At 37.2% G+C, this 17,530-nt stretch overlaps 1 protein-coding gene across 18 annotated transcripts in view, besides 1 other annotated feature; it reads left to right on the top strand.

The window, feature by feature from the left end:
* The window catches only part of GRIP1 (glutamate receptor interacting protein 1), a 721,908-nt gene that overhangs the window by 398,396 nt on the left and 305,982 nt on the right, over positions 1 to 17,530 (top strand). The gene's annotated exons all lie outside the window — the stretch shown is intronic.
* Positions 11,517 to 12,018: an enhancer, noted in NCBI's record as "NANOG hESC enhancer chr12:67052705-67053206 (GRCh37/hg19 assembly coordinates)". NCBI's record gives its function as "activates a minimal SCP1, AML or CMV promoter by ChIP-STARR-seq in naive H9 embryonic stem cells {active_cell/tissue: H9 hESC(naive)}" and the evidence as "EXISTENCE:reporter gene assay evidence [ECO:0000049][PMID:30033119]".

Here is a 17,530-nt window from a genome sequence, read left to right as displayed (position 1 = left end):
CCAGAGACAAGCCCAGGAATTTTACTCAGCTGCTAGAAGGGAGAAGCTGAGCAGATATAAGGGCTATGAAACTGCTATAGCCTTCCTGTGACTTTGAGGGCAGAGCCTGTCTGAAAATGGCAGTGGATCCAAAAGAAAGAGACACCATATCTGACTGTCATCACTTCAGCCCCTGCTCAAGAACTACCTTAAGGGAGCTCTGAGCTCTCCCTTAGACTTCTTCAGTTAAGTTAGCCATTAAATGTCTTTAACACCTAAGCCCATTAGAGCCAGGTCTTTCTGTTATTTGCAATCAAAAGAGGCCTGATACAGGTTATAACGCATTTGTGTGTATACATTTTGGTGAGAGTTTTGAAGACATAGTTTAAAAATGACAGTTGACTCAACCATTTGCTGAGTCCACTCCTGAGTTGCTCTCATTCCACAGAACTGTGTGAACACCCCTGCAAATCTGAGCCTGCAGTCCTGTATGAAGTTATGAGCGCCACTGCTAACGTAGGATTTCCAGTGGATCATTTTGTTAAGTCTTCAAGTCTGCCCTCCTTGGCAGTCCACATCAGCATAGACTGGAAGGAATGTTCCATGGGGATGGAAATGAATATTGTAATTTTCATGTGATTTTTTGTCCTTACTATTTAGGGACCTAAGGGCTAACTGATCTCTCCCTTTCTTCTCCCCTTATGCGGAAGGTTATTATATGGAGAAAATAGTTGAAAGGCAGGGTTATAAAGTTTTCTGCTTTGGTTGTATGCGGTGCAATGTTCTGAGCATCTCAGCTCTTCTCATTGCTCCCTCTTCTCTTCTGTTACTTGTCTTCTTTCAATGCTAATGGACATAGCTACTCATGCAAAGGAGTTCACCCTCATTTGTATGGTGCAGAAAGTCTGTTGCCCTAGCCCACAATGAAGAGTAGACTTCATTGGTTAAAGTCATCTTCTATGGAGCCAATTGTTAAATGTTAAAGAATTTTTTGAACTAGCTTGTAAACACAATCATTTAAAATTATATAAATTTGCAATTAAATGATATTAAAAACGGAGGTAATGAATACTAACAATTCATCATTTTCTAATCATTACTACATTTTATGTTCTGTGCTCTTGAAGTCTACTCTATCTATGTGGGAGAGCTACTCTATAATGGTGTGCCACACATCTCTTAGCAACTCCACATTCAATGACATCAAGTTGGTAGACTGAAATTGGCCATAGTGGGAGTATTTACACCAGAGACATTGATGGATGCTATAAATCAAGGCATGCCCCGACAAAGCCACTTGTTAAACATTTACCAGCACACCACTGAATAGGTACTCCTGCTCTGTGTATTCATAAACCTGTATAGATGGCTTTCATTATGCTTTCTACATTTGATGATAATTCTTTGTTTATCTGTATACAACCATCAGACTATGAATTCCTTGAAAATTAGTATCCATGCTTTACTTACCATTATGTCACTGGCAAGTACAAAGTATTTGGTACAAAGAAAATGCCCAATAAGTATCTGTCGAATGGATAATGTTAATATTTATTTATTTATTTATTTATTTATTGAGACAGAGTCTCACTCTGTCACCCAGGCTGCAGTGCAGTGGCACGATCTCAGCTCACTGCAGCCTCCGCCTCCTGGGTTCAAGTGATTCTCTTGCCTCAGCCTCCCGAGTAGCTGGGATTACAGGCACCCATCACCACACCTGGCTAATTTGTTGTATTTTGGCCCGGCTGGTCTCAAACTCCTGACCCCAAGTGATCTGCCCACCTTGGCCTCCCAAAGTGCTGGGATTACAGGTGTGAGCCACCATGCCTGGCCAAATGATGTCAATTTTTAAAGATCTCCGGGCTTAACCAATCCCACACATTTGTTTTGGGCTTGGAGTGTTTCAGATAATGCCTTTTCTTTTCATCAGAGTTCTTGATTTTTCACATCACATGGGGAAAGAAAGCTCCAGGAATATTCTGAAGATCTTTTTATTTTTTGCTTATTTGTTTCTTTTGAGACAGGGTCTCTCTGTTGCCCAGCTGGAGTGCAGTGGTGCAATCTTGGCTTACTGCAGCCTCATCCTCCCAGGCCCGAGCAATCCTCCTGTCTCGGCAGCCTCCCTGCCACTCCCCCAACCCCCAAGTAGCTAGGACCCCACCATGCTGGTATTATTATTATTTTTTTTTCTTTTTGATAGTGATGAGGTCTCCCTATGTCCCTATGTTTGCCCAGGCTGATCTTCAACTCCTGGGCTCAGGCTATCCTCTCATCTTGGCCTCCCAAGGTGCTGAGATTACAGGTGTGAGCTATTCCTGCACTCGGCCTTTTCTGAGGATCTTTAGTATCCTCTAACATCTGCTGATTTCCCAATTTCCTATTTAACTAGAGGGGTGTTCCATACCTTCCTCCTTCCCCTCCTCCTCCCAAAGCCTGCTCAAGGCTGTCTGGAGGAAAATACTGGCAGGGGACCAGAAACAGCACCAGGCAGCTGGAGGCTGAAGGACAAACTATTGTTAATTCTGCATGACAAAATTCCCAATTGAATTCAATCTGGGGAATATCTAGGACCCCACAGAGTTTCTGATTGAATTGAGTCTTTTCTAATCTATAAAGCTAGGTGACCTCATACAGATCAAAAATGAATTTCGTTTATTGCCTTTGTTTTTCTAAATGGTTTGTTGATAAATTTGGTTTACAGGCTATGAAGACTCAGAAAGTATCAGAGTAAAGATAGTTTCCAAGAGTGATTAATTCCTTGTGATATTTTGTATAGATGCTACTTGTTTATTTTAAATGTATGCCTTCCAAATGTTAAAATCTATATCAGGATTAGTGACTCAAGGCACACTGACCACAAACTTTTGCCTCAGCTACATCCCAAATATCAGCATAAGTAAAAAGGGCAGTTCTAAAAATAGGAGAAAAGGATATCAAGAAACAAGAGATTTTCAGAAATTTGTGGAAGATGGAAAGTGGATAAACCAAGCAGACATTACAATCCAGAGCAAATACAAGAAAAGTAGAGGGAGGAGCCACCCTTCCTGGCCATGGAACCACAGACAGGCTTCAAACTTGTGTGGTTTTTGGAAATCAGGCAGAGGAAGGAGGCAGAGAACAAGATGATTTTTTGAAGGATGGAACAGCTGAGAAAGTTAAACACCTCCTTCACCTTCATCACCTTCCCTATTGTTCCCTAATCTAAAATTAGAAAGCCAGTCTCTTAAGAAATTCATGGATCTGTAGTGATGACCCCCCAAGAAAGCCCTCCCCATTTTGGTGTGGAGTTGAGGAATAGGCAAGTGTACTGCCTGCTCACCCTGCTGCCTGTCTCCCACCCGAGGCCTTGGGTGAAGTCTGCCAGTGATCATGCCCTGTTATCCTGGGGAAAAAGTGGTTAAGAAAACATAGTGCTATAACTCACACCAGCTACTTGTATTAGGCAACCTAGTTCTTTATTAATAAATGTAAACTGATAACTAGGGATCATTGACATCTTTTGGACTAACAACTGACCTGAAGAAAGAAGAGGTGATTCAGGAACAAAAGAGAGATTTTTAAAAATTCTAATGAGTAGCCTCAGAAGCATTCAAGTGAATATTGCATTCAAGAAGGTATCACATCCACAAAGCATGACCAGCTATAATGACAAGGGAGCAAAAGAGAAATATACAGAATTCACAGAATATAAAACTATGACTGCTAAAATTAATATTCACTAAAAGAAACAGTTGACAAAGTTAAGGCAAATACTTGAAAAATGTAGATACATAGAAGATCAATTGAATAGGTACAACATCAACCTAAAAAGCATTTGGAGAGCAGACGAGAAAAGGGGAAAGAAATTATAATGGAAATGATTGGTGTAAATTCTCCAAATTCAAACATGTTTTCAGATTGAAAGGGCCCTTTGAGCTCTAAGCAAAATTACTAAACAAAGACATAAACAAATCCTCTTCCAGGACATCGTGGAAAATGAGAAGATCCTAAGAACTTCTCAAGAGAAATAAAAATAGGTTTCCTATAAAGGAATTAGAATCAACTTCGTGTCAGATTTTTATCAATACCAAATCAAAAAAAAAAAAGGTTTCAATGTTTGAGAAGAAATGCTTCAAACCTAAAAATGTCTATCAAGGGTGAGCATAAAATAAATACATTTTTAGGTATGCAATGATTCAGAAAATTTAAATCCAACACATGCTCTTAGAAAAAAAATGACTGGAGATTATACTTAAGCAAAAATGTATATAGAAGTAATCTAGGAAAGAGGAAAGTGTGAAAGTCGAGAAGCTGTGGATCTAATTTAAGAGTGCAGCAGAATGATATCCCAGAATAGCAGTTATATAGTAGAGTACAGTCAATCCAAATGAGAACCAGTCATCAGAGTCAAGGCAGAAGGCCTGATGAAGAATATGGATTTCTTAATAATGACAAATTAATTATAATATGATAGAATTTTAATAATGTATTAAATTAATGATAAAGTAAAGATATAATTTTTCTTTTGTCAACAAGAACAAGAAAGGCAAATAGAAATCCTAAGGGGGACAAAAGCTGGACAAGAGGTAAAAATCCAAATATGAAGCAATGTAAAATGTGTCATGTTTTTAAAAAATTTTTGGCAGATGAACTTGACCTTTATACTTGGAAGATTCTCCATTGAGTAGCACAGATTTAGGAACATAGAATGCATCTCCTGCTTTAGGGATTCCATCATAGTATTTGATTCTCCAGTGAAAAATATTTACATAATCATCATTTTATAATTGTTATTCATATTTAAAATTTTATATTCTATCTGTACAGAGAAAGCATAAAAATTATAACTAGGAAGGGAACGTAAATGTTATTAATATAAGTTTTTACAGTATAAAGATAGTTACATACCTGACTAGCTTTATGTTTGTGGGGGAAAGACAAGTGCAGGGAAGTATAGGGCTGTTAACTGTGTTAACTTACATAGAATATGTTGTAAAATACCATGTGAAGTTGACATGGTAAGGAAAACTACAATTAAAAGGACTGACAGTATGAAAAGTTGGCCCAGATTTAAAGCAATTGGAACTTTCATATACTGCTCATAGAAGTATAATTTGATACTACTACTTTTAGAAAACTGTTCGGTAGTATCTGCAACAGAACGTATGCATATCAGATGGCCCAGCAGTCCCACTCCTAGTTTTATACCCAAAAAAATGCATGCTACGTGACTCAAAAGACTTGTACAAGAATGGTCCTAGCAGCACTGTTTGTAATAGCACAAAACTGGAAACAACCCAAATATCCCTTAACAGTAGAATGCATAAATACATGTGGTAATTATTGGCATACTATGCACCACTCTGCCATGCAATAAAATGCATGATTCTCACAAACATAATGTTGAGTCAAAGAAGCTAAGCAGGAAAAATGTGTATGATATCATTTATGACAGATCTCAAAACCATTCCAAATCTATCTATGAGGGTAGAAGTTAGGATGGTGGTTAACTTCAGGGAGGACACACACACTTATGGGGATACCAGAGCTCTGCTATTTCTTATTCTAAGTTGTGATTATATAGGTATGTTCACTTTCTGAAAACTCACCTAGTTGTTCATTTTTGAATTGTGTACTATTCTTTGTGTATGCCATATTGTAATAAAAAGTTTATTTTGGTTGGTTGTGTTAGCTCACGCCTGTAACCTCAGCATTTTAGGAGGCTGCCATGGGAGTATTGCTTGAGAACAGGAGTTCAAGACCAGCTCAGGCAACATGGCAAGACCTTGTCTCTACACAAAATTACAAAATTAGCCAGATGTGGTGGTGCATGCCAGTTACCTGGGAGACTGAGGTGGGAGGTTCTCTTCACCCAGGGAGATCGAGACTACACTGGTGAGCAGTGATCGCCCCACTGCACTCTAGCCTAGGTGGCACAGCAAGACCCTGTCTAAAAAGAAAAAAGGAAAAGAAAACCTAGTAAGCCAAGAAATTGCAACATTTATTCTGGTATTTTCAGAAGTTTGGAAACTGAAGCAGTAAAAAGAAAAAAAAATTCCTATTGAGGAAGGGGAATGAGGGAGAGAAAGAATGGAGGAAGAAAACTTTTACTTTTTATCTTTTACTCTCCTGTACCATTAACATTAAAAAGAGAAAAACAAAACGATTAAAAGTAATATTAACATTACTAATAACAATAGCTACCATTTATTTCATGCTTATCATAATTGAGATACTGAACTGGGTATATTATGTACCTATGTCAATTAAATTTTCATACCTTACATTCTTCACCACAATTATTAAGGTGAAATTTATTAACCCAGCTTAATGATAAGGAAGCTAAATATCAAGATACCCAATTATAATATAAAAGACACAAAATATTATTTAGGAAGAAAATTTTTCAGCAACCCAGAATATGTTTCTTGTTGTATTAAGGCACATTTTAGTTCTCTAGCATTTGAGGGTTAGGCAGGGGAAGCTCTTACTGTGTTTATAAATCTCATTGCCCATTAATGAACCTGAAGACATAATCATACCTGGCAACAAATTCTAGAAGGAATATATACTATGAATGTTTATCTAATGTATGTTAGAGACTATAATTATGGTGTGGCAAAAATATAAAGTTATTTTTAAAACTCTTTCTCTGTTGACTCACTACAAAAGCCAAGGGCACAATATGATGTCATAATGCAGGGAAGTAATTTCTTCAGGAAATGCAGGTAGTAGAGTCTGAGCATATTGATTTTTGGAGCTCTAGCTCAGTGTTTCCCAACCTTTGTTCTTCATAAAACTAACCCTGCTAGATGTGAATAGTTACTCCATCAGAAATGGGTTCGAGTTAAATTGTCTTGGAAATGCAAAAAAAAAAAATGTAATCTCCCTTTTGTAGATTCAAAACCATATTAGCATATTAAAGACCCTTAGAAGTTTGATAGAAAATAAATCCAATTAATTTTGTTTAAACCAGTATTTTCCCAATTTATTTGGTGATAGGACCTTTCTTCAAGTAGCGCTAACACTGTAGAAACCAGATTTTTGGAAAGCATTCATTTATCTCAACACAGATTGGAGCATAGATGCACCAGCCATTCTTAGATCCTTAGACAGTGGCTTTCAAACGCAAGTTGTTTCAAGTGCACACTTGGCAGGTGCAAACGGAAAACGTTGCAGTGAATTTTGAGAATTGCCTCCTGTGCCAGTATTCTCTGGTATTGTTTACAAAGTTAGACACACACGCTTTAGAGTTCATATGTGTAGGAGGCAAAGTTTTCACTTTGTTACAAAAATTTAGGAGCCTAACAAGTTCTTTCCTAGACAGAGTCTCCCCACTCACTTCTGCACAGAAATAAACTACAGACATGTCTGTAGTTGAATTGGACTCCTTCACCCACCCCACACATACCTCCAAAGTGCAGAGCTGTCTGCATTTTGAATCTGTCAAATCATTTCAAGTCAATTCTGTCAAACCATTAAGCTCTGTGCCATGAAGCAAAAAGAGATGATTTGAACTCATAACATTTAAAAGGCAGCTATTACTGATTGGCCCCCCAGATGGTGAAAGAGGTAGATGACCTTCATACACTCTACTTTTGAATACAGCTTCTTCCTGAGAAGCCTGAAGCCTGGCAAGTTAAATTCTCTACACAATGTACCTTCCCCCCATATAGATGAATAAGTAAACTTTTGGGAAGAGGTTCAGTTTTTTATTTATATATTAGAGAATATTCACAAAATATAAGCATTTTATCATTAGTGTATCTATGCTAAGCTCTTTATGACAATAATTAATACAACTTCATAATAAAACAATGACATAAAGAATGATAGTCATCTTTCAATTTGGTAGAGCTTGTGGGCATAATTCCAATTGATCTCAGAACATTATCAAGTTGCTGTGATAAAGGTTAATGAGAAAGGGGATGCTATACCATTTAGAATTAGAATTTGATCTGTCAAACAAGCATTCTTATCCAAACTGATTCTGACAGCAGTATTATGGCACACCCTTTGAAAAAGCATTGATAGCCTGGGCTTTAATCCAAGATTGTACAGCTTGACTCATAGATGGTTCCTGTTTATGGAATCAAAGGCAGAAAAGATCAGTGAACATGACAAAATGTCTAACCTCATCTCAATGAGATCAGGAAGGGTAGAGCAGTAATCGACAGTGGAAAACTAGCTCCTTAATGCAAGAGATTAGATTGAGTGGTTCAGGCTTACCATTGCTTTGTTTTTATGAAGAGAAACAGGGTAGAATATCAAGTATTCTGGTAGGAAGAGGTTATTTTCATGAGATCTTTTTCAACATTTAGGTAAGCAATAGAAATTTTTTAAAGTAGTTCTTACCAAATCCTAGGAAGGGACGGGCTTGTATACCACAAAATATGGAAAATGCATCATGAAATAATTCACCCAATCATCTAAAGAAAGGTGTGCTTCTATGCTTCCCTTTGGAGAAGTTTTATAATAGGCACAAGAATCTTGACTCATCAGCTGCTAGCAGAAATATATTAAAGTTCCCTTTTTTGCCCTCAAGGGAATATGATACTATAAAAAGATGTGAAGTTAAACAGGTTATGCATGATTTCCACCATACTGTGTTTAACTTGTATAGACTTTTGAGGGCCAGGAGTGTAGAATGGGGAAGTGGAGAGAGAGACTTCAGAGGAAGGAGAGGAAAGAAGCAGAATTTTTGACTACAGCAGGCAATGAACTGAGAAAATAACAAGGGGGCAGTCAGGATTAATAGATATTAGCCACAGTTAGAGGGAAAACCTCTCTAGAGGGGCATTTTGAATGGAGTAAATCTCGGTCTTTCTCAACCTGGGTTACTCATCTGAACCGCAGAACCCTGAAAATGCTTTGATTGATTGTTTTCTTAATTCTTCCAAGGTTGGTACACAATTAATATCATTCTACATGCGCAGGAGTATGGATACTTTAGAATAATAGGGCTCCATTCTCTCACTGAACCCAGGGTGGGAATGGCTACAGTGTTACGTATGAGAAGGAAAAGACCTTTGTTCTATATAAATCATTTCTGGCCAAAATTTTACTATCCCAAATGGTACACAGTGAAATCTTGAAATGATTACATTAAGTGCCAAAGACTTCTGGATGAATTAATCATTTGACTTAAAATGTCTTAAGGATAGAGATGGAAAGAAGAATGGGTTGATAACTATAGAAATAGAATACTGGCCATTGTACAGGCTTGAGATGATACTACAGTAATGCTAAATGTAAAACTAGACAAAAACTCAGAAAAATATTTGCTTGAGAAAACGAAAATGTATGAATTATCTGATCTTTCCTACAACTCCAGTGAAATTTTAGACAACACCAAGGGTAAGATATGTGTTACATGGTGTTTAATATTCATATGGAAGCCCTCTGAGGTTTTGAAAAAGATTATGCTAAATTCTCTAGACAGGACTTCCCCCAAGTCAAATTGAAAATAGTAGTAAGTATGGTTTATTTTTTTTCCCATCTCCCCTCCACCTTTTTTTTTTTTTTGCCAAAATCTAACAAAGCTTTCATTTTCGTACAACCTTACTTTCAGAGCCAACTTTTTGTTGTTTGATGGAAGTAATTCCTCTTTTGAGAAATTAACTCCTAGGGATTTTGATTGTTTCAGTGCTCCAAAGACTTGGCCTTTTTCACTGGAAATTTTAGATGACTTAAATCTCCAACGGAAGAACTGTACACTCTTCGGCCAGTTGATATTCAGCATAGGAAGCTCTTCCTGAAATTTCTCAAATTGGCGATGGAAGTTGCCTCCTAATCTGAAGGACAGTTCTGCTTTCAGATTACTGTATAGGAGCCATTTTTTCAAGTATTTCTCAATTTCTAGGTGCATCACAACTGGAAACTTAAGCATGTTTCTGTCGTTTCCAGGAAAGCCATTATTTATCTGTATATTATGCTTTTATTTTCCTAAAATGATAACATTCATTCCAACTTCAATATTTATATGTGTTCAGAGTATAACTATTTATATCCTAGAAAGATAAGATGATATATTTGTATAATATATATTTGTATACATGTAATACACATGTATACATGTATACATAAATATATACACACATATAAACATATACACACAAATTTATTGGATGCTCTGCAAAAATAGCCACTACTCTAATGGGCATAGCCCATATCTTATTCCTCTCAGTATCCTTAATACCTAGCACCTAGCAGGGAATCAATAATATAAATATAAATATCTGAATAAAAGCAAATTGACAAACTAATAACGTAGGCTTCTTTTCAAACATCACTTCATGCAGCAGAAATGTGTTATGTGCTGCCATATGAAACAATGGGCTGAAACTGGTTTATGAGAAATGTGTATGTGAAATTGCTTTGTAAAATTTTGTACAATTATTATGTAGTCTTATGGTTTCATGAAATATAAATGTTGAAGATGTTGTAATTATACAATACAAATCTTGTTTAACAGACCTTGATTAATAATAACTAATTGATACTTTGTTATTAGCTGATGGATAAGTTCTTGATTTAAATATCAATTAGAGGATAATTCATTAATTTAATCATTTTTCCTCAGTGCCTCAAACAGCATTGAAGGTTTACCCATGACATAAGAACAATCTGATAAATATTCCAATACTAAGCTACAGTCATTCATTTGAATACGTAGGTGCATTATTATAATAGGAGATATATTATGATATTGATTTTGATATTTAATATTTAGCTATTATTTTAGGGTATGAATTTTATAGACCATTTTAATAGCCAAACTAAGGTTTGAAGATAGTCACAAATTCTAACGTGAACACAATATTGATTCCTTACTTCAAAGACAGCTAACAGTTCACAAGAGAATAGTTGGGCTGAGGCCGTCACATTTTATGCATTTAGGCATCAACATGAGAATCATAGAAAACAGTAGATACTTTAGTTTTTCTCTCTAAAGAAGCATGAACATTGATTTATTTTGATGCTATCTTGGTACAGCAAATAGAATCATTTTAATAGAAAAACAACCCTTTGTTTATTTTGTGTGTTGAACCTGTGTGTTAACTCTATGCGTTTTGGGAGTTTATACTATATAAGACCATTTCTGTGGTCTAAAAGCAAGGTAGAACTCCTTTTTCTTTTCCACTAGAGAGAATTTACAAGAGAATTGCATGGCAACAAGTCACCAAGAGTTAATAGTTATTGAGTCATCAGTGAGTATATGCTACAAAACTGGGTCCTTCAAGAACTATATCTTTAAAATGTCCATGTTTAGAGAACATACAAAACATACTGTCAGAATGAACAGCAATTTTAAATGTAAAAGAATTGTTCTATTAGATTGTGTACATATAGAGTTTATATTAAATTAGAATCAATACAGAGACTGGTACATGTGTTCTTTTTTAGGAGCTTATGAAATGGAAACACCTTAACATTCACATCCTCAAGGATTATGTGACACTGTATTAATGCATGTGGAAATGTAACTTTTAAGTATTTTGTTATGAAATAAATAGAGCAAAGTTGTTTGCAAAAAGAAATGCACAATGACAACTTCATTTATTCATTCACAAATATTTATTGAGCACCTACGTGTGAGATAAAACTCTGGGTGGTGAGGGTTTACACAGCAGCAAATAAAATAGGCCTTGTCTCTGCATCCATGGAGCTTCACTTCTAATGGCAGAGTAAAACAATAAACAAATATTCAAATAAATGCACACTCAATGTTATGCAGAAAGTTAACAGAGGGTGTGAGGTTACAGAGTGAGGGGGAAAGCGCTATTTGAAATGGAGTAGTCAGGAACAGCCTCTGATTAGGTGATACTTGAGCCAAGACATGAAAGCCACATGACTATCTAGGGTAGAGTATTCTACACAGAGAGAAGAGCAAGTACAAAAGCCATGCAGCAGGAATGAACTTGGCATGTAAGGATCATCACGGGGCACAGTATTGCTAGAGCAGGGTAAGCAAGGCAAGGAGTTCAGGAGCCGCTTTTTATTTTTATCCTTTTATGTTGTTGTTGTTCGTTTGTTTTTGTTTTATTTTGTTTTTTTTTTGGAGACAAGATCTCACTGTGTTGCTCAGACTGGAGTGCAATGGCATGATCATGGCTCACTGAAGCCTCAACTTCCCAGGCTGAAGCAATCTTCCCCCCTCAGCCTCCCAGGTAGTTGGGAACACAGGTGCATGCCACCACACCTGGCTATTTTATTTTATTTTATCTTATTTTATTTTTATTTTTAGAGACAGGATCTCCCTGTGTTGCCCAGGTCTCAAACTCCTGGGCTGAAACAGTCCTCCTGCCTTGGCCTCCCAGAATGCTGGGATTACAGGCATGAGGCACCATGCCTGGCCAGGAGCTGCTTTTTAGATGAAGGATTTTTTTTTCTTTTTTTTTTTTGAGATGGAGTCTCGCTCTGTCACCCAGCCTGGAGTGCAGTGGCACGATCTTGGCTCACTACAAGCTCCACCTCCCGGGTTCACGCCATTCTCCTGCCCCAGCTAGATGAAGGATTTTAAGTTGGTTGCTTATCATATCCACATGCAGTCATGCCCCCAAAAGGATGCTCCCAAAAGGAATGGATTACAGGAATACAAGACTACAATTTTAATTACTACCGTACTTTACTTACTAGGCATTCCTTCACATTTACAAGGATCTTTTCTAGCTGCGAAGAGAGTCCTCATCCCAAACCTACGGTTAGCTTAGGTTGCATTAAGTTCTCAAAGTAATTTGCTAATTAATAGTAGCAAAAATCTTGTGTATCATTTGTATCATTCTTATTGATTTCTTTTGTCTTTATTTTTCAGAGGTTTTTTTGCATTAACAAATCAGTTGTATAAATATTCTTATATATATGTTTATTTATGTTTATTAACTTTTGAAATAATTTCATACCATTACTTTCACTAATAAGTACACTTTAAATGTAGAGAATTCCCCCTTAAGGGTTTATCAGGACTTACCTTCTTAGGGTGTGAGAAAACTGTAAACTACTGACTAATAAAGTTTAAAATACCTTTTATGTTTCTGTAAGAACCTAAATTTAAGTTAAATTCTTGAAACATGACTTTTTCAGACATTTAAGAGCAAACTTTAAAATCCCCTAAAATAGAATCCCTCCTGTCGCCTTGGAGACATTACGGCCATCGTGCTTTGTCTGTTGTTTTTCTCTTATCCATCTAGGAAGAGTCATACATTTTCATGGCGATTAGGTTCATGCTAGATATGCGGGAATAGCTTTAAAATGCAGTGGAAAGGAAACCCGTCAGGGCTGGAAATTAAGTGTCTGAATTCATACAAACATGGGATAAGGGATGGTGTGGCTTTTAGAATCTGCTTCTCCAGCAAGGGTTCAGATGTCCCCTACTTTTAAGTCTAATAACATTACTTTCTAACAGAAGACCATGTTTTCTATAAAAATAAACTTCTGTTAATGTAACAGACCTGAAAGATCTATTTTATCTAAGATGATGATTGGAGTAAAGCTTGAATAGAGGCTCAGTTTAGGACAGAAGGACACCCTACTTGAGACATAAAGCCAGCCAGTCCCTGCCACCTTTTTTGACACTCTATATTCTGTCCAGTTATGAGGATTGGGTGCTAAAGCCACTGCCTTCCCATCCCAAAGTCAGAAGTGGTTCAACCTCACCTGGGCAGTGGTGTGGCGGCGAATGGGGCGGGACCAGGGTGGTGGGGAGGGTCCTCCTTCAGTAGAGGCTGACAGCTACTTCTCATCATCATCTTCCTTTCAGGACCCTTGCTGATGAGTATCCTTGATTGATAAATTGTCATTTAGAGAGCTGTCTTACATCATTTAAAGGTGAAAATTTGGTGAGGCAAATCTAACCTTTTGATTAATTCCCTATAACTGGCAATCCTAGAGTTAGAGTTAAAATGAATTGCTCCCATTTTTTTTTCTTGTTTACATCAAAATCAAACTGATTTCAATTTTTGGAAATATTTGCTGATAGTAAATTACACAAGAATCATGGCTGGTTCTACTAGGTCAATCTAGTAGAGAAAATTGAGATTAGCAAGGTTTCCAGGTTATTAGAATTTTCTATTGGGATAAAAACCAAGTGAGACTAAATACTAAAAAGCCAAAGAGAAAATTCATTTTCTTTAAAGTTCATGTAAATACTGCATTTCTTAAAAGTATCTGAGAAGAGGAGGTCGGGTTGCAAACTGAAATACCTTCAAGAGCCAGGCATTTAATATTTATTTAATTAATAAATAAGTGCCATCCCCCATGACCTAGATACACTGTTTGCATATTAAACACCTAAGGATACAGCCTTTACTTTTGCAAAGAAATATGTTATTTCCAGTTTTGCATGAAGCACTGGGACCTTTCAGTCCATTTTAATTTTTTCCCTCTTTCTTAGAAGCTAGGATACAGTGAAATATGCCGTACCATAAGAAAAACAACAGTGCAAGCAATAATCCGTGGTAAGAGACAATTGGTCTTGGTGTCAGAGAGGCACTGGGAAGTGGTAATGTCACACTGGAAACTTAGTCTGTTTAAGGAGGGCTGCAGCTACTCACCTTGATTATTGCCAGGCTGAAGTACAAGCCAGGTGTTGTCAGATATTTAGATTTTGCAATAAAGCCCAGGATCTGTTTTTTTTTAAAATGGGAAATCTCCCAATCTTAAAAGATTTATTCTATTGAAAAAAATACACTGTTGGCTAACAAAATTCACTTATAGTTCAAATTTTGCCTGTGGCTGCCAGTTTCCAAGCTGTGTTGCATATTCTACAGAGAGAGAAAAAGTTGTTCATTTATTCATTTGACAATCATTTGTTGAGTATCACACCATGACTGGCACCATGTGGCTTTCAAAGATAATGAGACAGGCTCATTGCTCTCAAAAACCTCAGAGTCTATTGGATGCCTGGAGAAAAAATTTATACTCAGAGTTCAATTATTCCCTATATATTTATAGGTGTCAAATCAATACTTACAGTTCCAGTCCTTCACCTGATCTTCAGTATATCTAATTTCCCTCAAATGATATATCAATACACTAGCTCTCTTTGTATTAACATATATATGTGTTCAAAGCATAAAAGTACAGAAGGCCAGGTGCGGTGGCTCACACCTGTAATCCCAGCACTTTGGGAGGCCAAGACGGGCAGATCACAAGGTCAGGAGATCAAGACCACGGTGAAACCCCGTCTCTACTAAAAGAATACAAATAATTAGCTGGGCGCAGTGGCGGATACCTGTAGTCCCAGCTACTCAGGAGGCTGAGGCAGGAGAATGGCGTGAACCCGGGAGGCGGAGCTTGCAGTGAGCCAAGATCGTGCCACTGCACTCCAGCCTGGGTGACAGAGCGAGACTCTGTCTCAAAAAAAAAAAAAAAAAAAAAGTACAAAAAAACTGCAAAAAAATATTAGTGTATGGTGGATACGTGTCATTATACATTTGTCCAAACTCATAGAATGAAAAGTAGTTAAGAGTGAACCCTACTGTAAACTGTGGACTTTGGGTGATAATGAGGCATCAATGTAGATACAGCTGTAACAAATGTACCACACTGGTGTGGGATGTTGATAGTGGGGGAGGCTGCACATGTGGCAGGGCAGGAGGCATATGGGAAATCTCGGTACCCTTTTCTCAATTTTGCAGAGAACCTAAAGCCACCATAAAAAAGTCTTTAAAACAAAACAGAAAGATTTGCAGCATGATTTTATATGAATTGTTAAAGCACACAAAGTAATAGTGTATAAGAACATCCAAATGTGGGAAAAGCATAAAAGTGCACAGCAGGAGGATAACAACCCCCATTTGGGGATAGTGGTTGCCTCTTGGGGGAACGTGGAGGGATATGAGTTGGAGAAGTTGATCCAGAGTAGTATCTGGATCATTTTGTTACTTTAAAAATATCTGATACAATTTTAACAAAAGATATACATTTGTGAAATCTTGATGATGAGTGTTTAAACATCTCATGTCTTCTTCATGTTCCTGCGTACAATACTTTAAAGAGGTAATGAAAATAAAATAAGAATGTAAAAAACAGCATGACTAAATTAGATTTTTTTCTTTATTCCTAGGGGAATGTCTTTTCTAATTTTCACCATTGCTTTAGTGGCACCAGCTTCCCAGACTTACAATATTTAAATTTTCCCTCTTGTTTATCCCCAGTGGCTAACCCAATCTGTTCCTTATGAATTCTACCTTTAAAACATCTCTTTCCATCTTTATTGTACATAATGGCGCAGACATCCTCATGTCATATCTTAACAACTCTCATCACCTCCCCAAACATCTGAGGACCCCACAGCCCTCCTCTCCTCCTTCCAGTAAATGCTACCACCTTGCTTATCACACCTTTGTCCTGCTGCCATTATTTAGAAATCAAGTTCAACTTCTCTTCCTGGTATTTACATACCAGCATAGTTTGGCCCCATGTCAATTTATAAAGCACATTTCTCTCTCCAACTACTCCTAACTCCTCTTTTCTTAGTGCTCTGATACTTAACCAGGGACCAAGCAACATTCCACATTCAACTTCCATGATTTTGCGTATGGTGTTTCATTTTCACAAAATTTTCCTTCCTTTTTTACCTTTCCAAAAATCCTCTCTACAACCCTCTTCTGTAGGACTTGACCTATATTTGTTTTCCTTATCATGTTTTTGGCACAGGTTGTATTCACTTAGATACTTTATTTTACCTTATCTTTGCAAGTTCATCTTGAATAGTTTTAGTGTGGTTTAATTTGGTTTTTTAGTCATTTTGTGATTTTTTTTTCTTTAAGATCACTTCTTCTTGTCCAAATTTTTTGTAGTTGTCTCCCTTATCACTGCTAGGGATTCTATTCCTATGTTGAAAAAGTTTCAATCTATCACCTATGTTTGGTGCCTGATAGCTTTGTTCTTTCCCTCTACCCCAATCAATCAGTGGTCACAGTGCTGAGTGGTGACCACAGCGTTTTCAGCCTCTGTAGCAAGGATGCCCTGCCTCAGCCACTGGTTCCTGCAGTGATCCTGAATTCATTGACTTTTGCATGTGAAAGGCTTTTAGTCTCTGTTCTCTGAGGCTGTGAACATCAGGTCATCACAGCCTCTGTCCAGTCCTGACCCAGTAGGACTGGACACCTCTGGTCTCTACTCAATTGTGTATATTTCAGTTCAAAGTTTGGTCCACAGAGGTATAAATCTTGTTTTTGAGTATAGATATGCCCCCTAAATTTTGTTTTAAATTTCATTGCTATGTGTTAAGCATAAGCAGCAGTCTATTGGAGGTATCCACTGAATTGTGTTGATGTTTCAGGCAGTCGATTATCTTGGGTGTGGTTTACAGTGCATCTGCCAAATGCTTATAGCAAATAGTTTCTTCCTAGTCTAGTGTGCGTCAACAGTTTCTTGGGTTCGATATCCTCCCACAGTGACATAAATGCTAAACTGCCAAATTTAAGCATGTAAGAAACTGAAGATAAGGCAATACTGTGCTAAAGCTTCTATTCTACTACATGAGATTAGGAAGTGGAGGAATGGCTAATACAGAGGTGTGAGATTGTTCACTGATTCTGTTTACCAAATAGTTCTCATTCTAGGT

This window comes from Homo sapiens, chromosome 12, assembly GCF_000001405.40.
Source record: "Homo sapiens chromosome 12, GRCh38.p14 Primary Assembly".
NCBI classification, from domain to species: Eukaryota; Metazoa; Chordata; class Mammalia; order Primates; family Hominidae; genus Homo; species Homo sapiens.
Note: the sequence above shows the minus strand (reverse complement) of the source record. Positions and strands in the feature narration are given on the sequence as shown.